A 26,362-nucleotide genomic window follows, 5' to 3' on the forward strand; every position below is an offset into this window, starting at 1 on the left:
ACATGGAAAAAATGCTCACCATCACTGGCCATCAGAGAAATGCAAATCAAAACCACAATGAGATACCATCTCACACCAGTTAGAATGGCAATCATTAAAAAGTCAGGAAACAACAGGTGCTGGAGAGGATGTGGAGGAATAGGAACACTTTTACACTGTTGGTGGGACTGTAAACTAGTTCAACCATTGTGGAAGTCAGTGTGGCGATTCCTCAGGGATCTAGAACTAGAAATACCATTTGACCCAGCCATCCCATTACTGGGTATATACCCAAAGGACTAAACTTAAAGTATAATAATAATAAAATAAAAAAAATAATAATGAAAAAATAAAAGAAAACTGAGGATACAAGGAGTTAAATAGGTTCAAACTCTAGCCGGGAAAGGGCAGGCCTCCCACCCAGTTACTCTTTGACCAACTCACTGGCTCACATGTGCGTTCAGAAGGCGTTGCTGAACACTGGCAAGGTGCAGGCATCCAAAGGATAGGGAGGAAATTGGTTTTGCCAGTTTAGCACTCTTTCCCAAACGACTTTCTTGGTGAGGCCATGCCAGGCCTTTTTTCCCCTGCACCTCATTGTTACGTAAATGAGTATGTGTTTCCAAGAAGGTTAAACCCCGGGCCAAATAGATGTGGACATTTGTTTGTTTCTTTTCTCTCAGATTGGGGATATTTGAATTGTTTCCACTGACCTCGCTTTAGGGAAAGTGTGGAAAAGCAGGGCATAGTTCTTGCCCTAAACAGAGTTCAGGCAAAGGGCTCCCATGCAAACTTTAGTATCTCTCCTATAAACCCAGAACCCAGGCTTCTGGGTCATAGCGGTAATACTTTGGTCTATATCAGGATTTTCCAGCCTTGGCACTATTGACATTTTGGGCAGAATAATTACTGGTTGAGGGAGGGGCTGTCCTGTTGATAGGGCTCTGCTGAGTGGAGGAACACCAGGACTCTTGTCTCATGCGACTTTGATAAAATGACATGGACACACATGAAGTGGTTTTAAGGAGCAGAGAGTTTAATAGGCAAGAAAGAAGGAAGAAGAAAGAAGGAAGAAGCTTCCCTGTACAGAGACAGAGGGAGGGGGGCTCCAAAGCTGACAGAGGACACCCCAGGTGCAACAGCACAGGGACTGCTTATATGAGGAGGCTGGAGAAGGCGGTGTCTGATTTGCGTAGGGCTCAGGGGATTGGTTTGACCAGGCATGTCATTCACGTAGCCTGCGAAAAAACTGGCCCTCCCACCCTAGCCTTTTAATATGCAAATGCAGGGCACCAGGACGTTCTACACACAGGGATATGTGAGGGCGGCCATGTTGCCTGACACATGTTGGGGCAAGGGCAAGAAGAAGATGGAAGGAATCACCATGTTCGGGTGGACCCAGTTTCTAATGGTTGGCATTTGCATATCAAAGGTTGCCAGCCTGGCTCCTAGAGGCAGGGCTTTCCTGCTAGATGAGAAATGTTTCTGGAGCTGCTTTAAAAGAAACAACTTTCCAAGGACCCCTTTTCCTCTCTATCTGCCTAAAATAATTTCTTAATAACTCCTATAACACTGCGCTTCGTTGTGTTAAATAGAGCGAACTCCAGGTTTCTCTTCAAAGAATCAGTAGGTTAGTATGTTCAGCTCTCTTATTCTTTGTTCTCCATTTTACAGTTTAACTTCCTGGTTCTCTTCGCCCCCTTGCCTCTAGTTTCAGTAAACAAGTTTCCTGCCAGTTCTAATTAGTAGTTCACATCTGTTCCCCTGGTCACCTTCTCCGTCCTGAGTCACCCCGGTCACCTGCTCTGACCTGAATCATCCTGAGTCACCTGTTCCGTAACCGCCCTTCCCGCCAAACTACTCACCCTACCACTCCAGCTCGTACCCCTGCTCTCTTTAAAATAGCCAATCGGAATTAGCTTAGACTGTGCGGTCCAACCCTAGCCAATAGGGGAATGACACAGCAGTAGGGGCTACCTGTGTCAGGAATAAGAACCCCTTCCCTTCCCCTGTTCAGGTGTGCTCTCGCCACTGCTCCATCTGCAAGTCACACCCTTCTATAGAAGTAAAAATTGCCTTGCTGAGAAAATTAAATTTATGTTTGAGTGCTATTTCTTTGGTGGTATCAAAAATTTATTTATAATAGTAGGATGCCCAGCAGTTTCCCTGGCCTGTGCCCATTAGATGCCAGGAGCACACATTCCCCACCCCACATCAAACTATCAAAACTGACCATCAAAAATGTCTCCAGACATTGCCAAACGCCCCCTGAGAGGCAAAATCATCCCTGATTGAGAACCACTGGTTTTGCTTATGCTTGGTCCTGTGAGGGTTGAAAGATGAGAAGCACAGGATTGTTGAAGTCCTAGGAGCAAAGCTACTTCCTGGAGATTTGTAGAGGACAGACCACCAGTGAGTCACCCTTCCCAAAACTCACATTCACACTTGCCTTACCCAGCTTAGGGTCCTCACCATCACTACAAAAGGGAAAAGAAAAAGCAAGACTTCCTTTGCTGGATGCCTTGGGCACGAATTAGCAAGTGAATTGGCTCTGCCCAGCTCATAACTACTCTAGAGAGAGCTTTTTAGGGGAGGGGAGAGAGACAGAGAGACAGAGACAGCAGGGGAAACAAGAAGGCCACACCCACTTAAAAGGGAGCAGCAATTTGCTCCCAGGAGAGAGACAGCACAGCAAAAGGCTCGGGGAGAAATGGCTCCCATCATACCTGGAAAGAGAACAGGGATGTGCTGCCCAGAGTGTCAGGTATCAATGTGCCAAGGTCCAGCTCCTCTAGCATTTCCCAGTGGCTCAACTGCAGGGATTCCTTGGATGCAACTCAGTTATATCTGGCCCCGCATTCTAGCTCTTGCCGAGGTCTTGCACATCCATGTTCTACACTACAACACACATACATCCACTCCTAGAAAATTCCAAAAGTACAGTGTGCTGCCTTCCCAGAAGCTCCCATTCTACAATAAAGCTAAACAGTGAGCTCAGGCACAAGGCCCAGTCAGCACTGTCAGGAACTAACGCCTCAGACAGGATCCAAGATCAAGCCATGGTGCACCAAACCCAGCACCGAATGACAGGCCTTGGTGTGGCCTGGAGTCACCACTATTCACAAAGTGCCAAGTGTTTAACATGGAGAAAAGAAGCAGTAAGCCAACCACCAAAGCGAAACCCAAGCCCACAAAGATCAATGGGTTTTCAATCCCTTTATTGAGCTTCTTACTGCAGGCAGGTTTTATGCCAGCCTAGGACAGTTTGCTCAGCCACCAAATCTCCCAGCAAAGGGAATTTTTCCTTTTCTCTTCCATCATGAACCCTCTTTCCCCCATCCTCCAACTCTGCCTTCCTGCCCATTCCTGGTGCAACTTCACTTTTTTCTCATCCCTTTCCTTTCATTTCAAACGTTTGTTCCAGGAGCTGTTGTGAAACTATGTTGATGGCATAATCAAACCCTTGCACCAGGCCGTGATAGTGTGAGTCTGGGTAACCTGAGACAAATGCCACCTCCATTCTCAAGAAGCCCTAAGCCAGAGCCCTGTAGGGGTGTCTCACTTTCCTCGATAAATACTGGTGTGAAAAATTGTGTTCAAATAAAAACTAATTTGATTTTTCACATAACTTGTTCAGGTTGGGGATGCTTTTCATTTCTGATTGATTTTTTTTTATTGTCATCTGACCCTATCACTTTAAGTGTCTCTGCCCCTAAAGCTTTGAGTGAATAGCGAGCTCTGAACAAGCACTTAAATGTGCTGGAGTAAATTCATCAACATTATCTGCAAGTAGCTAAAAATGGAAGCAACCGAAGTGTAAAAGAGAAAGTAAATAAATCAAACCGCTGTATATTCACACAATGGAGTGCTGGGAGCCATATTCATATTCTTCTCAAAGAACATTTAATCTAATGGCAAATTTTTTTAAAAAAAATTCTAAATGATGATCCCATTATATAAAAAGAAATAAATCAGAATTATAATGGTGTTTATATTTGGGGGGGGGAGTGTGATATTATGAGTGGATTTTAATTTCTTTCTTTGTACATCTCTACAGATTCTAGATTCTTCCCTATGAATTCATGTTCCTTTTGCAATCAGAAAAGAAAAAGAAGTACTTTATTTCACTTCCCCAGTTATGAATGCCTTGGGAGCCGGGATTCTACCACGGCCGAGCCTGCCGTTCTCCCGGTGAGCATGGCTGTGTCATTCCTCTTGAGTTTTGGGTGGTCTTAAACATGATTGGTGTCACTCCAGTGATTAGGCTATGTTATCTGGCAAGGTTGAAGAGATTTTGTAATGAAGTCTCTAATCAGTTGACTTTAATCAAAAGGGATTTTATCCTGGTGGGCCTTTTGAAGCTGGTACAGAGATAACAGACTCTTCTGCTGGCCTTCAAGAAGCAAGCTGCTGTGAGCTCTACAGCTGCACTGAACTGAATTCTGCAAACAACTGTGCTTGGAAGAGGACCCTGAGCCTCACATGAGACCCCAGCCCCATCCATTCCCTGGACTGCAGCTTTGTGAGACCCCCAGTTAAGTGTGCCTAGACTCCTGACCCATGGACACTGTGAAATAGTAAGCGTGTGTTGTTTTAAGTAACTTTGTAGTAATTATTTTTTACATAGCAATGGGAAATCAATACAAATACTATTTTAAAAATCCAAAGTAAATCCAGTACCCCCACCATTACCTCAATACCCACAGTCATTGGCTGGGAGCAGCCTGGGAGAGCAGGCTCTTGTTAAGGGTTCAGGAAGGAATCAAAGGTGTGGTAGCTGGAGGCTGTCAGCCAGGTTCTTTCCAAGGGAGATGGAGCAGCCCAACTCCAGGTCCCCACACCTCCTGCTGACATCTCCACCCACAATTCAGCCGCTTCCCTCCCTCTTTATTAAGACTTTTCTTGTGAAATCACTAAAGACCTGCAAATCCCCAGGCCAGGATGAAGCCCACCATCTCCTTTCTCTGTGCCTGCAACTGTGCCTCTAAGCCTTGGCAATGGAAACGAAAGACACACCTTAGTAGTCACTGTAAATGGATCATTGTCACCTTCCAATGGACACACAACACTGCCCCTAACTCACAACACTCTCTAATAAGTATGTTCTTCTTCTCTTTGCAATGGCAACCTCATACCTTCTCTAAACTTCTCAAACCTCCCACCTCTCCTCCTCATCCCCAACCCCTACCTGGCCCTTCACTTGAGACTCCGGCTGCTTAATTATACTTACTTGAGAAAATGAAATCTATCAGTTTAGCACTCTCATTTCCCCATAACTGTAACCGCCCAATGGGTTCACCTTGCCCGCTGCCTAGACAGAGCCTATTTCCCAAGACAGGTGAATTGCAAAGAGAAAGAGTGATTCACACAGAGCCGGCTGTGCAGGAGACCAGAGTTTTGTTATTACTCAAATTAATCTCCCAGAGCATTCAGGCATCAGAGTTTTTAAGGACAACTTAGTAGGTGGGGGGAAACCAGTGAAGCCAGGAGTGCTGATTGGTCAGGTCAGAGGTGAAATCAGGGGAAGTTGAGGCTGTCCTCTTGTGCTGAGTCAGTTCCTGGATGGGGGCCACAAGATCAGATGAGCCAGTTTATCAATCTGGGTGGTGCAAGTTGATCCATCAAGTGCAGGGTCTGGAAAATATCTCAAGCACTGATCTTAGGAGCAGTTGAGGGAGGGTCAGACTCTTGTAGTCTCCAGCTACATAACACCTAAACCATAATTTATAATCTTGTGGCTCATTTTTTGGTCCTATAAAGGCAGTCTAGTCCCCAGGCAAGAAGGAGGTTTGTTTTGGGTAAAGGCTGTTATCGTCTTTATTTTAAACTATAAACTAAGTTCCTCCCAAAGTTAGTTCAGCATACGTCCAGGAAGGAGCAAGGACAACTTAAAAGTTTAGAACCAAGATGGAGTCGGTTACGTTAGATCTCTTTCACTGTCTCAGTCATAATTTTCCAAAGGCAGTTTCATAACTAATTTACAAAGCTCCCCCGGCCTGTCCCTTTCTTATTTCTTCTTCCTGACAAAATGAAGGGGGCATTGCTTCTCCTAGCAATGGCCAGTCCCTGTCATGGCTCAGGGCCAGGTCTTCATAAGGATGTAACCAAATCCAGGTTGAAAACCAAACGTTGAGAGACAAGAGTTGGGAGGAAAAGCATGTTTATTGGAGAACCAGCAAACTGAGAAGATGGTGGGTTAGTGTCCTAAAATACTGTCTCAAGTCAGTACAAATTCCAGGCTTTTTTTAATGTTAAGGTCAGGAGGAACAGGAGGGCCTTGGTATCAAGATGTAACCGATGATTGTCGACAACTCTGCACCAGCAAGGGTCTGAAGAAGTTGGGAATTTCTTTGTCTTTGGTCAGGTCACAACGCTCCAATAAATCTTTAACCAAACATAGTTGTTTGCAGACTTCTCCTTTAATCCTAGAATTAGTTTTTAAAACTACATGATTGCTGTTTTGCATATCATCTCAGTACCCTAAAATTACCCCAGCCTATGTGCAGGGATGGGTAAAGGATCCTTAAACAAAAATGGAGCTAGTTATGTTAGTTCTTTCGCTGTTTCACTGTTACAGGGACTTTCCTTCCCTGGTGATGATTCTCATGCTGATGACAAGGATGATTCTCTCTCTCGTCTCTCTCTCAGCTGCTGGTGCATTTTCATCAGTACACAGCACCACTTTGGTACCTCCCAACCTATAAGACCCTCCCCCAATTCCGCATCCCCCTTCAGCCACTGCTTCATCTCCTTGTTCCTTTTTATAGCCTGACTTGTTGAAATAATTTTCTACACACTTTGCCTCCACTTTTTCCAGCTTCCATGCATCCTTGATCACACTCTGTTCTGGCTTCTGGCCCTACTCACACCTAAAGAGGCCAACAACCTTCATCAACCTCTTAACCCTTTCTCCTCACCTCTGACTCTACACTTCACACTTCTCTCCCAGGCTTGCCTCCATCACTGAGATCACACACTGCTTTCCCTCTGTGATGCACTCTGCCTCCTGCCCTCTCTTTCTCAGTCTCTTATGCAGGCAAATCCTCCACTACCAGCCCTCAGGGCTCCATCCCTGCCACCTTCTTCCCTCTAAATTTTCTTTTCCATGTGATTGCTTCTATTCCTTAGGCTTTAAATACCAATCCAAATATTGATGCCCCCCAAATGTCTATCTGTAGCTCAGCCCTCACTTCTGAGTAATCTTTAGTACCTCCTGCTTCTCTGACACTCATGACCAAAGTGCCTTTAAAGCTGCTATTTCTGCCTTTAAAATGTATCTCACATATCTGTGCGTGACTTAGCGTCTCATGGCCACAGCATTAGTGCACAGCACCATCAGATTGCTACTAGATCACATCTTTAACCTTCTGGATTCAATGATACACAAACTGCTGCCCATTAGAATCACATGAGAAGCTTTTACAAATTCCAGGCCACACCCAGACCAATTAAATCAGAATCCCTGGGAATAGGGGAAACTGAGACATCAGTATTATCTTACACACTCCAAGGGGTTTCAATCTGCAGCCAAGTTTGGGAGCCCAGGTTCTGACTGGGCATCCACTTGTGCCCGCTTCTGTCCATTCTCCAAAAGAGCCAAAGGGAGGATTTTTAAATGGAAACTGGCCAAGCACAGTGACTCACATCTGTAATCCCAGCACTTTAGGAGGCCAAGGCAAGAGGAGCACTTGAGGCTAGGAGTTTGAGACCAACCTGGGTGACATAGCAATATCTTATCTCCATAAAATTTTTTTAAAAAGTTAGCCAAGCATGTTGGCATGTTTTTCACAGTTCTGGAGGCTGGCAAGTCCAAAATCAAGGTGCCAGCCAATTCAGCTTCTGGTGAGGGTTCTCTTCCTGACTTGCAGACAGCCACTTACTGACTGTGTCCTAAATGGTGGAGAGAGAAGATCTCTTACTATTTCTCTTCTTATAAAGCCACTAATATAAAGACCTACCTCACGACTTTATCTAGCTCTCATTACCACCAGAAGGTCTCATCTCCAAATCATCACACTGGTAAGGGCTTCAACATATGAATTTTGGAGGGACATGGTTTAGTCCATATTTCCTGAAAAACTTGGACTCTTCCTGATTCTGCTTTAAGATAATCTCTTAAACTATTATTTGCTGCCTCCCATTGGGTTCTGCCCCTGTGCCCCCATAGCTTTCCGTAGTTCTTGTGCATTCTTCTCTTAGAGCATTCATCAAACTCTGTGGTCATTATCTGCTACCCTATCCATCCCTCTCATGGAACTGGGAACCCACGATGACTGGGACCAAATTGTGTTCGGCTGTTAATAATTTCTGACATTTTAGGAATGATTGACTAGTAGATGCTTATAAGTAAGTGTTTCTGTTGCAATCAGAAAGGAGAGGAAAAAGGGATAGGGGGAAGTAGAAAACAGAGAATGAGAAAAGGCATTGAACTCCACCTCTAATAGGCAGTTCAGGGACCCCAGTCCTGTAAGTCACACAAAAGGAGGCAGCAGCAGGAATAAGGTAGGTCATATACTCCTTCATAGCCAGGGCAGGTAAGGCACTGAGTACAGTCTGTATTTCTTATCTAAGTGCCCAACAACTACCTTGGACAAGTTACTCTATTCCTCCGTCCCTATGTTCTCTCATCTGTAAAACAGAGATAAGAAAAGCACCAACTCACGTGGTTATTTGGAGGCTTAAAAAAAATAATGCATCTAAAGTGCCTGATACATCATCATTCACTGAATATGGCAAATAAAATAAATATGTGCATATACTGTGCATATCACTTAGCTAGATTTTTGAAATGGCATTTTCAATGCCTGATAAGGTCGAAATTTTATTAACTAGCTATGATTTAGAAACGTATGCTGCGAAGTTCTTGTGGGAAAAAAAGGTTTTAAGTCAACAATAAAAGTCAAATATTAGGAAAAGAGCAAAGAAGAAAACTAATATTGAAAGCTGCTTCTTTCAACAAGTTGACCTTTCCTCCTGTACATATTTTCCTCTATTAGAGCTGAGATAATGGAGTTATTCCTAAGCTTTGCCTTCCCTCTCCCCTGCCCCTTGTCTGTCGAGGAAAGGTTATGCCCAGCAGATGTTTGTTTCAATAAACACCGCATTAAGCCTCCTAGGCAGCCAGGATGGCACAGATGGTCTTCTCAAACTATTTATGTGCTCTTTCTCGATGCGTGATTTTTTCCTTTACAATGATGACTTGGGTGTTAGAGAGATTGACAGCAGCACAGTCCTTGTGACAGGAAGCCCATGATTCTCACTAACATAGATCAGCAGCCAGGCACCCAACACACAGCCTGGGCCTCACCTTGGTCACCTGTGGGTAGCACTGAAATATCACCTCCCTGAGAAACGAGTGGGAATATTGACCATCTACTCACTGCACTCAGTGAGAGGCCCCTAAAAATGGCCAGGGGGCTGCGAATGAAGCCCTCTGAATTCCTGGTTCTGCAGCTCTGTTGATTCACAGATCCTGGAAATAGGGGGAAAGCCTTCCAGGGCTCAGGAAGAGGGCCAAAGGTCCAGGAGGGCATGCATGAGTCAAGAGGAGGTCCATTTTTTCGGTAGCTTCACCCTGAGCCCCTAGACCAGCAGCTCCTCAGACCAGTTTCTTTCACCGATCACTGACCTGTGCTTAAAGGGACAGCTCCACAGAGGACTACAGGCATGTGCCACCATGCCCGGCTAATTTTTTTTTTTTATAGTGACAGGGTTTTGCCATGTTGCCCAGGCTGTTCTCCAACTTCTAGGCTTAAGTGATTCTCCTGCCTTGGCCTCCCAAAGTGCTGGCACTACAGGCGTCAGCCACCGTACCAAGCCACGTTGTCCATTTTCTAATTGATTTTTGTTTTTTGTTTTTTGTTTTTTTTGCTATTGAGGTGTATGAGTTCCTTACATATTTTGGATATTAACCCCTTATTGGATATAGGGTTCACAAATATTTTCTCCCGGTCCGCAGGATGCATTTTCATTTTGTGGATGGTCTCCTTTGATGTTCATAAGGTTTTTTTAGTTTGATATAGTCATATTTGTTTTCTTTTGCTTTTGTTGCCTGTTCTTTTCATGTGATATCAAAAAAAATCATTGCTAAGGCCATTGTCAAAGAGCTTTCCCTATGGTTTCTTCTATGATTTTTATAGTTTCACATATCAGTCTTTAACTCATTTAGAGTTGATTTTCATGCGTGGCGTAAAATACAGGTCCAATTTTATTCTTTTTCATGTGAATATTCAGTTTTTCTCGGCACCATTTATTGAAGAGACATCCTTTAGCCGCAGTGTGTTCTTGGCACTTCTTCATCTTCTTATAAGGGCACAGCCCTACCCGGTTATGGCCCCACCCTCACAACCTCATTTAACCTTAATTACCTCCCAAACACCTCATCTCCAAACACCATCACATTAAGAATTAGGGCTTCAAAGTACGAATCTGGGGAGAATGTAAACATTCAGTCCATAACAGGCATGCTGCATTTCCCCCGGTTAGGTGCTTTTTTCCCTGGATGGGTAATCCCCTACGCGTGCAGCAGGGATGATCTTCTCTGACTAGCTCATTCATGATACTCAACTGTTAGACATATTTTCTTGACACGGAGAGTTTCTTAGATTTCGTTCGCAGGCCTTTGCTTTGAAATCTCTCTCGTCTGGTTTCTGTGGTTTCTGTCTTGTCAGCTCATCCCTTCAATCTCTCTCTCTACTTAGCCCCTCTACAAGGGCAGCGTGTTCAGCATTTGATTTAGCTTCTTCCAGATGCTGCCTCTTGAGCAGGTCCTTTCCCTCTGTGCTCTGCAGCCTGAGGATAACTCGTACAGCCCTAGGCTGTGTCTACCACTGGCTTGGTTGAGGACCTTGACAGTCAAGAGAGCTGGGGCCTGCAGGAAGTAGGACATGGAATGGATTGAATAGTGATCGACAGAAGGGAGATAGGAAAAGATGTGAGCTTTGTCTTAGGCCTGTAATATAGAGAGATAAAGGCAGATATAAGGAAATTTGATTACATAATAAAAATAAGGAGACATAAAATAAAACAGACTTTTATAGCTGTCTCCCCACGTTGAGTTCAGGAGTGCTCAGAGACTTGGATCCCCTCCCATCAGGGAGGGAATGCACATTGCCATTTTACAGATGACCATAAAGGACAGGGAAGAAGGGAAGGCACTCTTCCTCTTGGAGTCAGGCCCCTGTCTTAAGGGAGATAGCCCATGCCGGAGAGAGCCCTGCATGCAGTCAGTGCAAGGAGAGGTGCTCCTTTGCACACACCGAGTTTGCCTTAAGTGAAGCTTTTCCCAGCCCATGTGTTTTCTCCAGCCCTGCCCTCTGTTCGCTCAGGTCAGTGCCTCACCGCCACACTGTCTCTGCTTCACTTAGAGTCCTGGGAATTCATGGATCCAGAACATGCTGAGAAACGCCTGGAATTTGCATGAAATTTATTCAAGTACCTCTTTATCTGCGGCAGTTGATGATCAGGCAGCCTAACCTATCTCACAGAGAAGCAGCAGGCAGGTTGGATGTCAACAAGCAAGTCCTAGAGACACACAGTGCACACCAACGTGGGCATGCACACTCACAGTGTCAGTGAATCCAGTCATGCTCTTTGCCTCCTCAATGGTTTTAGCCTTGTGCTCTCCCCACTCACACCTCTGCGTGTCTATGCAAGAGTGAGCTACTGAATGCACTACAGCAGTACTGCTGATTTTAAGATATTTCCCTGCAGATGAGAGGGTGGTCTTATATGAGGAAGAAGTGCCAAGAACACACAATGAGGAAAGGATAGTCTCCTCAGTAAACAGTGCTGAGAAAACTGGATATTCACATGCAAAAGAATGAAATTGGATACTTATCTTACACCACTGACGTGCTGATAAACAGCAATTCTTTCTCTCTCCTTGTTTCTCATGCTGATAACCACTCCTGTGCTCCTCCCATTTTCTTAGTATAACAAGCATAATTCAGCTTCTCAAATGTGGAGAGGAACATGGTGTGGAGAGGGGGATAGAGAACATTTTATTCTTAATACGTGAATACTGGAACCTCATTTTATATATCCCAAGATTCTGATTATAGGATTCTTCTTGGAGGTAAGACAATGGTTTCCAAATTAAGGACTGTGCAATGTAGTTCACTTGGATGAGAAACTGATGGAGATAACAGGTACTTAAAGAAATCAAGGAAAGCTAAGACCGAGAAACAAATAAGAGCCTCATTCACTAATCATTTCTACTCATTCACTTACTCATTACCTAAATACTAGAGGAGGACCAGGCTAGACATTCATGACGCACATGCAAATATATTTATGCTCCCATGTGCTTACAGCACGCTTCTGCCAAGGAGCTAGAGCTACTGCTGACAGCCTATGGCCAACTTACAGTCTGAGGACTGATCAGTTGATCGTCTCCCTTGCATGGCTGCTAGGTGCAAAAGCGATGGCCTCAAGGGTCAGTATCTGCTCTGCTGTCCTTTCCCCCTGTTCAGCAGAACATAGGTCCTGTAGAGCCCTGGTAGCATCACAAATCAAGATATCCCTGAGGACCCAGCTCCAGAGCTGACACCCCCCTGGAAATTAAGCGTCCTGCCCATGAGGAACTGCCCACCTCTGGGAAGACCCAGGACCCTGAGTGCACAACCCAAAGGGCAGGCACGCAGAGGCATCCAGGATGCAGGGGTCTAAGCCTCAAGGAAAGGGGTTATAACCAAGAGATGGTTTATTAAATTCAACCTTTTAATTCAGCTTTGTGTAAGAAATGAAACTCCCCAGGCAGCCATGCTTTGAACTGTGTTCAGTTCGTGTCGGGAACGGAGCTCTTCCCCCGCCGGCACACAGGCCAGAGCAGCCCAGGCGGGAGCAAGGAGGCAGGAGAAGACCAGGTACCAGGCATCCAGATGGCTGGGGATGCTGCTGGGAGGCGCCGGGGACTCCTGGGAGACGGTGGGCACCTGGCGGTAGTCAGAGCATTGCTGTACTGGGCACCTGTGAGACATCCCAGGCGTTGGAGGAGTAAGAAGCGCCCGCGGTCCTTCCCGCGGCGAGATCGCAGCGCATGTTCCACGTGAGCGTCGGCGCAGAGCTCCGGGTCATGGGAGGCCAGGGGGCTCGGGGACCAGAACGCAGGCCTCCGGCTCCCGCTGCCCTGTGCAGCCTGCCATCGTTGGCAGTGCCAAGGGACAGCGCATTTGGCTGGACGGAAATGGGGCCGACCTAGTTTGTGAAGCAGAGGAAACAGCTGCTGGGGTCCCAGGACCGTGCTGAAAAGCTCACTTGAAATAGCTACGACTTGAGAGTGAGAAAGCACGAAGGAAGGAAGGAAGGAAGGAAGGAAGGAAGGAAGGAAGGAAGGAAGGAAGGAGGGAGGGAGGGAGGAAGGTCCGGTTTCTCCCGCAGATCACTTTCCCTGAACATCTGCACCCTTGCCCTAGAGGTCTTCCCCTGGCTGGTTTAGGGGTGAAAGGAACAGAAGGGAGGGAGCCTCTGAGTGAGTCACAGTGACGGGAACAACTGGCTCCTCCCATCCCCCACCGTCCTTGTCCACCCCTCCCCACTGTAGCATGTGATCTTCTCTCTCTCCTCCCCATCCCACCCCCTCCCCACCACACAGACACACACAGACACACACAGACACACACACACACACACACACACACACACACACACGTGATGTCCTGTCATAATTCAGAAGGCGGATGACTCCCCAGGCCGCTAATTGGATGGGCATTTGGGCAGTGGCTCCCCGTCTATTCTGAGCTTTGTGCTGTGCACTAATTAAAACCATCAGCGTTGAGTCTTTGCTTTATAAGCATTGGCTTCTCTGCGACGTCTATTTGAGAAGATGCATCATCTTCTAGCATGCAAAATAGGCTAACCCCTGTTGATGCATGAAGAGAAACGCCATTCTTGTGCTTTTAGAAAAAGAATGTGGTTGTTTTTTGTGGGCAGTTACCTCCCTAGCACCTTGGACTTCAATGCGACTTAGTGATTGACACAAGCCCCATGGGCTACCATTTTGAGGGCGGTTGCGGCCGAGCTCTTTGTGTCGGGCTGGGGCTCCCTGATCCTCTAGACCACGGGAGCACAGGTAAGGGGGCCCAAGAAGGTAAAAGGGACCCAACTGGGTCCCTTTTTACATATATGTATGTACATATATATACACACATACGCATGTATACAGAGAGAGAGAGTAAGAAAGAGACAGAAAATTCTAAGGAATTGTCCCGCAACATTGTGGGGGCTGGCAAGTGTGTAATCCACAGCATGGGCTGGCCGACTGGGACATTCACCAGGAGTTGACATTGCAGTCTTGAGCCCCGTCCCAGGACAGTCTGGAAGCAGACGTTCTTCCCTCTCTGAGGTTTTCGGGTTGGGTTAGGCTCACATTATGGAGGGTGATCTGCTTTACTCAAAGTCTACTGATTTTTATTCAGATCCAATGAATACCTTCACAGCAACATGGAGACTGTAGTTTGATCAGATATCTGGATACCATGGTCTGGCCAAGGTGACCCATAAAATTCACCATCACACATATCTCAGCTAACCAACTGCTCATACCATTCAACAGAATTATTGGTTTTCCGAGTTTCTGTTGGATCCTCACTCTTCTGAGGAAGAAGCAAAGCATTCATGATAACAGCAGAGTGGGAGCCTCAAGTTTAACTTGATTCTCGCTTCTGTAATCCCAGCACTTTGGGAGGCTGAGGCAGCAGATCACCTGAGGTCAGGAGTTCGGTACCAGCCTGGCCAACATGGCGAAACCCTGCCTCTACTGAAAATACAAAAGTTAGCCAGGCATGGTGGTGTGCACCTATAATCCCAGCTACTCAGGAGGCTGAGGCATGAGAATCGCTTGAACCCAGGAGGCGGAGGTTGCAGTGAGCTGAGATCGTGCCAGTGCACTCCAGCCGGGGCAACAGAGCGAGACACTCTCTGAAAAAAAAAAAAAGCTTAACTTGATGAATAGACCAGCCATAGTTTAAGCAGCAGGAGCTATAGGCTAAGCCACACGAGGTCCCTGCAGGAGGGGACACCCCCCCCAACACACACCAGGAGAAGCAAAAAGGTCTTATTCCATCCCATCTTCCTTAGAATCACTGGCAGAGAAAGGGGTGCCTGTCACCCACCTGGGGTAACATCTGCCCACTGGTTTTCTTTTTCATGAACTTTGGGGAAGGATTAAAAACCCAGAAATGTCCTACTTATCAACATAGCTTTACCTTTTCTTTCATTGGTTATATCAATAGCTCTAATGCCAGTTAAACAATGTGAGACTGTTTGGGGCTTCAGTTCTTCAGAATGTCAAAAATCTCACAGCAATATGGATGGTTTGTACAGTCTGTTCAATTTAACAAACACTTACTGGGCAGCTAATATATCAGACATTGTGCTAGGTAGCATGAGAGATCCAGAAATGAATCAAAGTCTCTGCCACCCAGGCATCTGCCTTCTCTGAAACAACTCACAGATGAGGATGAGAGCACAAGTAGTTCTAGAGTCTGTTGGGTTAGATCATTCTCCCAAGCACTCCTCAGACCCTTGAACAGTCTCCCAGCCCATGCAGCAAAAGGCAAAATCTTCATAGTGACTGCAAGGGCCTATTTAACCCCTCAAGCCTCTTTCATCTCCCTGACCTGCTCTCCTTCCCTGTCCTCCTGCCCCACTCTGCCCCAGCCACAGTGGCCTCCTGTGCACATCAGTGGCCAGCTTACTCCCACAACTGTGGTCTCAACACTTGCTAAACCTTTGTTGGGATTGCTTTTTCTACAAGAGCACACATGCAGGAAGTGACAAATCCACTGCTTTTCCCTATAATTTTTTTGAAGCATTTCTTCCGCATCTTCTTAAAAGGATGGCTAAGAAGTCAAAATAGTTGCCTATTCTTAGGCGCAAATGGTGCTTTCAAAGAGGCTTACATAGCTTTCCTTATCTGGTAGCTGCACAGCACTCCTGTGATGCGGGTTTCCTTATTAATGTATTCTGCATGCCCCTTGTATTTATTATCAATTGCTATGTAACAAATTACCACAAATTTAGCAGCTTTGAACAACACACATGTATTGTCTCCCAGTTTCTGGGAATCAAAAATCTGGATATGGACTGAGTCTTCTGCCGCAGGGTCTCGCAGCTGCAATCAAGGTGATGGTCAGGCTGTGTTCTCATCTGGAGGCTCAACGAGAGAAGCAGCTGCTTCCAGGCTCACTCGGGTTGTTGGAAGACTGTCTTTCACTGTAGCTGTAAGACTGAGAGCTTCCGATGTCTTGCTGGCTGCCAGCTGGAGGCTGCCCTCAGTTCCCTGCCACATGGCCCTCTCCATAGGCACTCCACAATGTGGCAGCTTGCCTCCTCAAACCCAGCACAAGAGTCAGAGTGATTTGCTAGGATGACAGTCTTATATATGTTATGTAATGAAGTCATACAGTCATCACCCTTGCTATATTCCATCAGTTAGAAGCAAGTCACAGGGACTCCCCAACACACACTCAAGAGGTGGGGATTACACTCAGGTGAAACTATCAGGAGGGAGGATCATGGGGACCACCTTAGAGGCTGCCCCTTTTGCTTCTAACTCACCCCAGCCTAAATTATCATCCCAAACTAATGGACAGAAGACTCCAAAGAGTGAATATTTACCCTATTTGATTTATTTTGGCCATAGCGTGAGCCTTCACAGATTTTCCCAAAACCCTTAGAAAGTGCTGATTTGCAAAGACACTCAGTGCTGGGAGGAGCATGTCCATGAAGAAGACAGGGGTTCTCTGTGTTTTCCTACAGGAAATGTGGCCTGGAAGGGCTGGAACTAGCACTTAACCAAGAAGTAGTTTTAGAGACCAAATAATACGTCACTGCTGCTCCCGGAGGCTTCTAAATCCATATTTGAAGTCATTAGCTCCACATGTCTCAGGGAGAGGCTTCCTGGGCAGTCGGGGCCCTGGGAGCCAACAATTCAGAGTCAAGGCCAGACCAGTTTCCAAACCCCAACCCGGTTATGTTTTCTGCCATAGCTGAAGAGCAGAAAGCCCAGAGCAACAAGAAGCAGGGATGGTGACAGGCAACGCAAATAACCCTTAAGCATAGATAGAAAAATCTGCACTTCAATGGCAGGCTGTTGTTTACCAGTTTATTGCACTTGACCTGAGAGCTCTGAAATGTCCCTCTCATGACAAATGTCTTAGCACTGTGCAAATGAAAAAAAGGACTCAAGAAAAACAACTTCAGCTCACATTCTTTAAATACTCCAGCCTTCCAGTGGCCACAGTTTTACAGCCTGGCTAAAAGGTGATCCTTCTGAAAACTTAATCGCTACGACAAGAGCTTTTCTTCTTCGTTTATAATAAATTGTGAATTTTTAAAAGACAACATGCTGAGCTTTAATTTTAAATGGAGGCACCCTGGAGGTGGTAGAAACACAGCCGCCTTTGACTTTCTATTTGGCTTTGCAGCAGAGAGGCCTTGTGGGCTGCCAAAGTGGGTGTTATTGCCTTCAACCTGCCAAAATCACAGCACAGTCCTTCAAGGGGAGGAGGGGAAAGCCAAGGAGCAGAGAGGACAGAGGGTGGGTTCCTGGTGCCACACACCTGTGGGGAACCCAGCCCACCTCCACCAAGTGGTGGAAGAAGAATTTCAGTGTTTTCATCAAGGAAGAGGCTCCAGGAAAAAATGGAGAGCATGAACATTGTGCAGCTCCAGGACCAGAATTTATGTCCTGTCTCCACATTTTACTCTTTGAATGGCTTTGGGCAAGAAGCCCACCTTCACCGTCCTCATCTGTGAAATGGAAATAATACCTACTCCATCCACCAGACAGGCCCAATAAGGACCATTGGTATTAACTGCTTTGTAATGTAGGATATAATAAATTCCTCTTCAAAGGTTTTAGCCTATAAATTGTTAAGTACAATGAGTTCTGAGATCCTCTCCAAGGAACCAATGTATCCGTATGTTCAGCTCCCCTGTCCTTTGTTCTTCATTTTAAAGTTTAACTTCCTTGTTCTCTTTATCTCTTTGCCCCTAGTTTCAGTAAACAACCCCTCCCCCCACCACAGCCCCTATCACCTGCTCTGTCTTGAGTCACCCCTGGTCACCTGCTCTGTCCTGAGTCACCTCTGGTCACCTGCTCTGACCTGAGTCATCCTGAGTCACCCTGAGTCACCTGTTGTGCCAAACTACTCACCCTGCCACTCCAACTCATACCCCTGCTCTCTTTAAAATAGCCAATCGGAATTAGCTTAGACTGTGAAGTCCAACCCTAGCCAATAGGGGAACAACACAGCAGTAGAGGCTACCTGCATCAGGAATAAAAACCCCCTCCCCTCCTTTGTTCAGGTGTGCTCTCACCATTGCCCCATCCATGAGTTACACCCTTCCACAGAAGTAAAATTTGCCTTGCTGAGGAAATTAAATTTATGTTTGAGTGCTATTTCTTTTGCAGCACTGAAAATTTATTTCTAACAGTAGCCTCTAATGCATTTCACAAATAGAAGGTAATATTACCACTATTGGATTAGAGTTTTCCCCTCATTTCCTCCATTTTCCTTGTTTCTTCCATTTTCTATAAGGATTTTTTAAAAACAGTCTTAAGCAAAGTCTTCATAAGATTTGGGAAGTCAGACCTCACATCACTGGGATACTGGTCAGAGGACAGCCCTTGGATGTCTTCTAGAGTCTCCATTCCCTCCTTCGCATGAGTCCTTTCTGTGATTAGGGTATGGCAGCAACAACCAAGATGGGGGCTCTGAAAGGAGGGCAAGGGTTCAGGGGAGGAGAGCATGGCCCCACATGGAATGCTGCCCTTGGTCACCCCAGCCCTCTCTCAATTTCCCTCACAACCCACCATCAGGAGCCTCAGAGTAGGCCAGCGTTTGAAACAAGTTTTCAGTGCCGCAAAAGAAACAGCACTCAAACAGAAATTTTTTTCTCAGCAAGGCAAATTTACTTCTGCAGAAGGGTGCAGCTGGCGCCAGACATGATCACAAGAGCACACTGAGTAGGGTGGGGCAGGAGTTTTTATCCCTAATGCAGCAGCTTCTGTAGCTGTGTCCTTTCCCCATTGGCTGGAGTTGGACTGCACAATCTAAGCTGAGACCTGACTGGCTACTGTTTAAAATTGAACAGGGCTAACTAGGCAGGAAGGGAGAGGCTGTCCCTTACAATTTTAGGGTGCAGTAAAGGCAGAAAGGATAGTTGCAGAGTAGGGAATAGATGTGAGTTATAGATTAGGACTGATGGGAAGATTGTTTACCATAATTAGAGGCAAGGGGGCATAAAGAACGAGGAAGTTACTCTTTGAAAATAGAGAACAAAGAACAAGGAAGCTGAACAAGCTGACTCTTCTTTGAAGAGGAACCCACCGTACCCAACACCAGAAAGACTATAACCTTGGTGAGCAATTTTAAAAACTGGAGTAGTTTGCTAGGGTTACTTTAACAAAGTACCATAGACTGGGGGCTTAAATGACAGAAATTTATTTCCTCACAGCTTTGAAGGCTGGGAGTCCAAGATCCAGGTGTCAGCAGTGTTGGTATCTCCTGTGGCCACTCTCCTGGGCTTGCAGACGGCGTCTTCTCCCTGTGTCCCCACATGACCACCCTTCTCCACCTTAGCATCCCCGGTGTCTCTGTGTGTCCGGATGTCCTTTTCTCATGAGGTGAGGACACAGTCAGATTGGATTAGGGCCCACCCTAATGGACCTGTTTAAAGGCCCTGTCTCCAAGTACAGCCACATTCTGAGATACTGGGAGTTAGGGCTTCAAGATACAAATTTTAGAGAGGCCCACTCCAGCCCATCACAAAGACATAAGGGTGGGGGCCCCATAATGAAGACAGAGTTGGGTGGGGAGTAATGACACATGAATATGCCCCTTTTGTCATCCTTTTAAAAAGTTGTAGAAGGAATAAGTTAGGTCACATATGTAAAAGTTCAATAAAAGGCCATCGAATAAGAATTGGAACTCTAGAAAATCTCCCAGGTTGTCTTTGTTGACAAACTGGTTTCTCTTTCTCTTCTTTCTACTATTATAACCCCAGGGAAGTGAACTTGACATGGTTTAGCAACCAAATAAAGCCATACGTCACTGCTGCTCTTTGAAGATAATGAAATCTGGCATCGAGATCTTTATCTTTGCAGGAACCAAAGGCCAGAGACTTCTCAGCAAACACAAGTGGGTGTCTAGTATCTGGGGCAAAGGACCGTGAGGCTGGAGAGAGAAACAGAAGGGAAGAAGGGTCCCTTACTGGCTGTCACAGGAAGCTGTGGGATGCAGACACATCCAGGGAAAGGCAGAGGCTGCCTCCAAGGCTACATGACCTGCAGGCAGCCCCGGACCCCCTGGGGAGGACTCAGGTCTCCACTGAAGGGACAGCCGAACAGAGGGAAATGGAAGTAGAGCCGTGGGGACTCCTGGGAGGGGGAAGAAGGCATAGGAGGGGAGAGTGACCAGGGAGACAAGCCCCTCAAGGTCAGAGAGGGAAGCCAGTGGGTCCCCGAGGGTGGGGTCGTGCAGTGAAATGTACTGTAGGAGGTGGGAGCAGGTGTTGGGAGCACGTGAAAGTCACAGCCAGCCTCAGGCAGCACCACTCAAGTCTATCTCAGTTGCTTATCTGGTCCAGAGAGGTTGAAAGGATGGGAAAGCTTCAAGACTGGATTCTTCGCATCTGCTCTATGACAGAGAAGGTTAGGACCAGAAAGTGGCCTCTGCAAACACAGCCATTTATATGTTTGGACTACTGTGTTTGCTTTGATTTTCCAGTTTCCTAAATAAGAAAGGCTGCTGCTTAAGAGTCCAGTCTGATCTCAACTAAGGGGAAAAGACATTTGTTTCATTTCCATTAAGGGTGGGATGTGGAGAGGGATCAGTCCCTCTTTGGTGACACCCTAAGGCAGGTCCTGGGCATCCAATCAGCTCCTGAGCCAAGAGGGTCAGTAGAACTAGATGCCAGGATCCCAGAGCAGACACCAGAAACCAAGGGCTTCTGGGGCAATCAACCCCCACCTGCTGCCTGAAAGGCTTCCTTTGCCCACTACTTTCCAGGACCAGAGAGAGAAGCATCCCTGCTGATGAGAAAGAACAGACACTCCCAGAGGACAAGGTCCACCTGTCAGGCAGCCACAGCCCAGCATACTCTGGAGTCTGAGGTGGGGGTCAGTTGTGAAGAAAGGGAAGAAGGAAGAAAAAGGATACGTTGTGCTCCGACCACAGGCCAAGGTACAAAGAAGAGGGGAAAAGAAAATAGCTGGGCCCTGAGACTCATACCTGTAATCCCAGCACTTTGAGAGGCTGAAGCAGAAGGTTTGGTTGAGTCCAGAGTTTGAGACCAGCCTGGGCAACATAGTGAAACCGTGTTAAAAAATACAAAAATTAGCTGGGTGTGGTGGCATGCACCTGTAGTCCCAGCTACTCAGGAGGCCAAGGTGGGAGGATTGTTTGAGCACAGCAGGTTGAGGCTGCAGTGAACCATGATTGCACCACCGTACTCCAGCCTGGGAGACAGGGTGAGACACTGTCTCAATCAATCAATCAATCAATAAAAATAGAAGACTTACCTTGCCCACTAGGGAGGGGCTCACTAGTGAGAGAACCACAGGGTTCTCTTTCACTTACTAGGGAAATGGCTTCCCCAGAGAATGGTCTTTAATTTCAAATGAGTCCTACACAAATATGTTTTCAGGACCCCAGGATTGGCAGAACCCATGCACCCTCACAGGCACCCCAAAAGTCTCCCCCGGGGCCTACCTACAGTTGAGTTGTCAGATAAAATACAGGATGCCCAGTTAAATTAAATTTCAGATAAACAAGCAGTGGTATTTTCATATCAGTGTGTCTCATGCAATATGTGGGACATGGTAATGCTGTAAAAATTATTTATTGTTTATCTGAAATTCAGATTTCACTGGACATCCTCTATGCTTTCTTGTTAAATCTGGTAGCCACCAGCAGTTGTTGCTTTTCAAGCTATAAGAGATGGATTATGGCTTAACAGGCTGCCAGACAAGATGACATCACAGATGATTGGCTGGGTTACTGCAAGAGTTTCAGCCCTTCCTAGACATGTCCATACTTTTGACTGCCATTTATAAACATCTGATTCAACTGGTTTAACCAGAAGAACAGTTATTGTCCCTGTAACCAGGAATCCAGAGACAAGGCGAGCTCCAGATGCAATGTGATTGATAGTGAGTGTCACGGAGGACTTTCCATCTGTCCCTCTGTCATCCTCAGTATTGATTCCACCCCTGGGCTGAGGGCAAGTGGTGGCAGCAGGCACAGCGTCCCCTCCAGACACAGCTGTGTCATTGGCATGGCTTCTGAGATGTGGTGGAAGGACAGGACTAAGACACAAGAGCTATTCAGGATCCCACAGCATCCGGATGTCTTCGGACTTATGGCCAGTGAAGAACATGAAGAGAAGGGCAGAGCTGAGTCAGAGTCAGCATGTCAGCTGGAGGAAGTCATCTGACATTTTATGATGTGTATTCACATCTGAAGGGAACAATGGGAGTGAGTGCAGCAACCACGAAAACATGCCCCATGGAAACTGGCTGGTGCGTAGCAGTCATAAGCAGTGGGCATGGCACTGACATCCATTGTCCTTAGGTTATTTTCTTTTATTAAAGCATTCATTCTTTTTTTTTTTTTTTTTTTTTGAGAAGGAGTCTCACTCTGTTGCCAGGCTGGAGTGCAGTGGTGCGATCTCAGCTCACTGCAACCTCCGCCTCCCAGGTTCAAGCTATTCTCCTGCCTCAGCCTCCCCAGTAGCTGGGACTACAGGCGTGCGCCACCATGCCCAGCTAATTTTTGTATTTTTAGTAGAGACAGGGTTTCACCATGTTGACCAGGATGGTCTCGATCTCTTGACCTCATGATCCACTAGCCTCGGCCTCCCAAAGTGCTGGCATTACAGGCGTGAGCCACCGTGCCTGGCCCATTCTTTTTTTTAATTTTTTTTTTTTGAGACGGAGTCTTGCTCTGTCGCCCAGGCTGGAGTGCAGTGGTGCAATCTTGGCTCACTGCAAGCTCTGCCTCCTGGGTTCACGCCATTCTCCTGCCTCAGCCTCCCAAGTAGCTGGGACTACAGGCACGCGCCACCACACCTGGCTAATTTTTTTTTGTATTTTTAGTAAAGATGAGGTTTCACCATGTTAGCCAGGATGGTCTCGATCTCCTGACCTTGTGATCCACCCACCTTGGCCTCCCAAAGTGCTAGGATTACAGGCGTGAGCCACTGTGCCCGGCCTCTTTTTTTAAATTTTTAAAATTATTTTAAAATTTTTTCTGGGTACATAGTAGGTACATGAGTATGGGGTACATGAGATGTTTTGATACAGGCATGCAATGTGAAATAAGCACATCATGGGGAATGGGGTATCCATCCTCTCAAGTATTTATCCTTTGAGTTACAAACAATACAATTATACTCTTTAAGCTATTTAAAAATATACAATTATTATTGAGTATAGTCACCCAATTGTGCTATCAAATAGGTCTTATTCATTCATTAAATTGTTTTCTAAACTGTAGGATGATGCTTAAATAATGGACTGAAAGTATGGTTTTGCTCATCCCACCTCTGGGAAATTACCTGTTGCTGACAAATGCACCAGATACAAACCTCTCAGCAGTACTTTCCTCTCTGGCTTTCAAAGGAAAACACTCTGGTTGATTTATGAAAATACTTCTTTGCTGGTTCATCTCAGCCAATGAGACATCACATGAGCTTAACCCTCATTCTCTCTTTTATCTGAGTCTCTTTTATAAGTCACTTCCATAAAGCAGAAGACGATTTATCCAGGAACAAAACTACGTGAACAGGGTAGATGGTTTTCAAATGTCATTTAAAGACAGTTCTTTGAGAAATATTGCCAAAGGGGCCATATTTTAACACAGTAGGAGAAAATCAAGACAATACACACTGACAGTTGTATCCGCAGCCTTTTCTAGACTTTCCTAAAAATAAAACAACAAAAAAATATGGAAGGCCATGTCAGAGTTTTAAAATATCAAATGCCAAATCCAATTTTTCAGGTTCAATGTTTAATTTTCTATGAAATATGAGGACAGGGTTAACAAAGCTGATGGCAATCTAAAGAAAAAAAAAACGCCTTCTAATATTTTATCTTCTCTCCTACTAAGTAAATATCCCTCCAGGGAGCTCATATCTAGACTAGAGCCTATACTATAAAGGTGAAACCCTTGTGTGCATAAGTATTCTCATGAAATCCTTTTTCCCCAGCAGGTCAGAAGACGGTATTTACCAAGTCTCTTCCCAAAATACTTGCAAATGCACATAATCTCAAAGTGTTTTTGAGGGCTCTTCCGATCTAAAATTGGTCCTAGTGACAAGGGGTGTTTGGGGAAATCAAAGGGCTGGCTTAACTATGTAGACCTAGGTCTGGTCTTATTTCTGGCCCATACGATCATCATGACCTTGGACAAATGAAACTTCCTGGGCCTCAAGTTCCTTGTATCAGAAAGGATGGCATTCAGCTGCGTACAACAGAAAACCAAATCACAGTGGCTTATCCAAGAAAAGTTCAATTTTTCTCAAAACTACAGCGTCCTGGGCTGATGCGGCAGCCCCAGGACGACCTCAGCATCTCACTCCTCCTTTCTTTACTCGGCCCCATCCTCAGGCTGTGACTTTCATCCTCAGGTTTGTCATCTTTTGGTGGTAAGATGGTTGCTCTACCTCAAGCTCACAAAAAGAAATGGGGGAAAGCAGGAAAGAAGAAAATCTGCTTCCCCAGAGACTCTGAGGCTGCACTTGCACATCTTATGGATCCAAACTGTGTCCCATGGCTGCCCCTAGATGCAAGGGGCCTGGGGAAATGAGCGGATTCATCAGGTACACTGCAACCGTACATGAAAGGAAAGTTCTGTCAATAAAGAAGAGCGAAATCTACATTTGGTCAGGAAACAGCATTGCCTGCAATATGCCTCATATGAAATAAAGCCTTTCTTGCCCCCATTCTGCTACTCGGTCATTCTTGCACTCAACAAATAGATGTTGAGTGCCCACTCTCTCCAGGCCATGTTCTAGGTGCTGCGGATGCAATCCTGAATCTATGAACACGATTGGCAGAACAATAAATATTGATTGTCTTGGCCACTCACCAAATAAAGTGCTCCTGGGAAGGCTGAGATCTAATGCAAAGCAGCAGCTTGACTTTCTCACTCCCTGGCAACAATGCCAAGCAAGAGAAAGCGATGGGTAAGGCCTGGCTCAAGAGTCTCACTGCAACCTGCACTGTAGATTCTACCTGCTAATTTCCTCAGCCTTCTCTGGTTTTGGGCTTCAGAATGCCCTAACTCTGGGCCCGGCGCGGTGGCTCACGCCTGTAAACCCATCACTTTGGGAGGCCAAGGCGGGTGGATCACAAGATCAAGACCATCCTGGCCAACATGGTGAAACCCTGTCTCTACTGAAAATACAAAAATTAGCTGGGCATGGTGGCTTGTGCTTGTAATCCAGCTACTTGGAAGGCTGAGGCTGGAGGATCGCTTGAACCCAGAAGGCAGAGGTTGCAGTGAGCTGAGATCACACCACTGCACTCCAGCCTGGCAACAGAGTGAGACTCTGTCTCAAAAAAAAAAAAAAAAAAAAAAAGAATGCCCTAAGTCTACTCTGGACCATGAGCAAGGATAATCTGTCTTAGAGGAGAGAAGGTGAGGTTATGATTCCAGAGCATTTGGTGACCCAGGAAGTAGACCTGCCTCCTCCTATCTGTCCACAGAGCAGTCCTAGGGGCAATAGGCCATGAGAAGATCATGCCAGGCAGTCCATTTCTATATTACCATGTAAACAAAAACTCAGCTGTGAACCCTGGAACGTTCGTATTCTGCAGCTGCCAGTGTAAACTGGTACAGGCCTCTTGAAGAACAGTGGGGAAAGGCACTCTGAAAGCATCCACGCCTCCATACCTGCTGATCCAGGGCTCTGATTTTCCTTCTGGGAACCAAGCCTAGGAGAATGATTCAAGCTGCAGAAAACCTTTCTCCACTAAGATGTTTGCTGTGGCATTCAGTATAATAGCACACCAGAGAAACAATCTAAAGATTCATCAGTAGGAGAATATCTAAGTAAATTATGGTACATACACTCAATAAAATGTTATATGACTACTAATTATGGTGGTTACAAAGACTATCTCTTTAAGAAAAATGCTTCTGTGAATGGTTAAGTGAAAATTGCAAGATACGGGCTGGGTGCAGTGGCTCACACCGGGTGCAGAGTCTCACTCTGTTGCCCAGGCTGGAGTGCAGTGCTGCAATCTTGGCTCACTGCAACCTCCACCTCCCGGGTTCAAGCGATTATCCTGCCTCAGCCTCTGGAGTAGCTGGGAATACAGGTGCGTGCCACTGTGCCTGGCTAATTTTTGTATTTTTAGTAGAGACGAAGT

At 46.0% G+C, this 26,362-nt stretch overlaps 2 long non-coding RNA genes across 4 annotated transcripts in view, besides 1 other annotated feature; one reads left to right on the forward strand and one right to left on the reverse strand.

The window, feature by feature from the left end:
• Positions 1-26,362, reverse strand: part of LOC105374894 (uncharacterized) — a 154,998-nt gene that overhangs the window by 40,836 nt on the left and 87,800 nt on the right. The gene's annotated exons all lie outside the window — the stretch shown is intronic.
• Positions 17,519-18,718: an enhancer, noted in NCBI's record as "P300/CBP strongly-dependent group 1 enhancer chr6:4487436-4488635 (GRCh37/hg19 assembly coordinates)". NCBI's record gives its function as "activates an origin of replication core promoter dependent on BRD2, BRD4, P300/CBP, MED14 and CDK7 cofactors, with strong dependence on P300/CBP, by STARR-seq in HCT116 cells {active_cell/tissue: HCT116}" and the evidence as "EXISTENCE:reporter gene assay evidence [ECO:0000049][PMID:35650434]".
• Positions 19,115-26,088, forward strand: LINC02533 (long intergenic non-protein coding RNA 2533). Its single transcript, NR_149117.1, has 5 exons — positions 19,115-19,347; positions 19,444-19,612; positions 19,993-20,126; positions 20,997-21,170; positions 24,199-26,088. It is a non-coding gene; the product is annotated as a long intergenic non-protein coding RNA 2533 (long non-coding RNA).

This window comes from Homo sapiens, chromosome 6 (genome assembly GCF_000001405.40).
Source record: "Homo sapiens chromosome 6, GRCh38.p14 Primary Assembly".
In the NCBI taxonomy this organism is placed as follows: domain Eukaryota; kingdom Metazoa; phylum Chordata; class Mammalia; order Primates; family Hominidae; genus Homo; species Homo sapiens.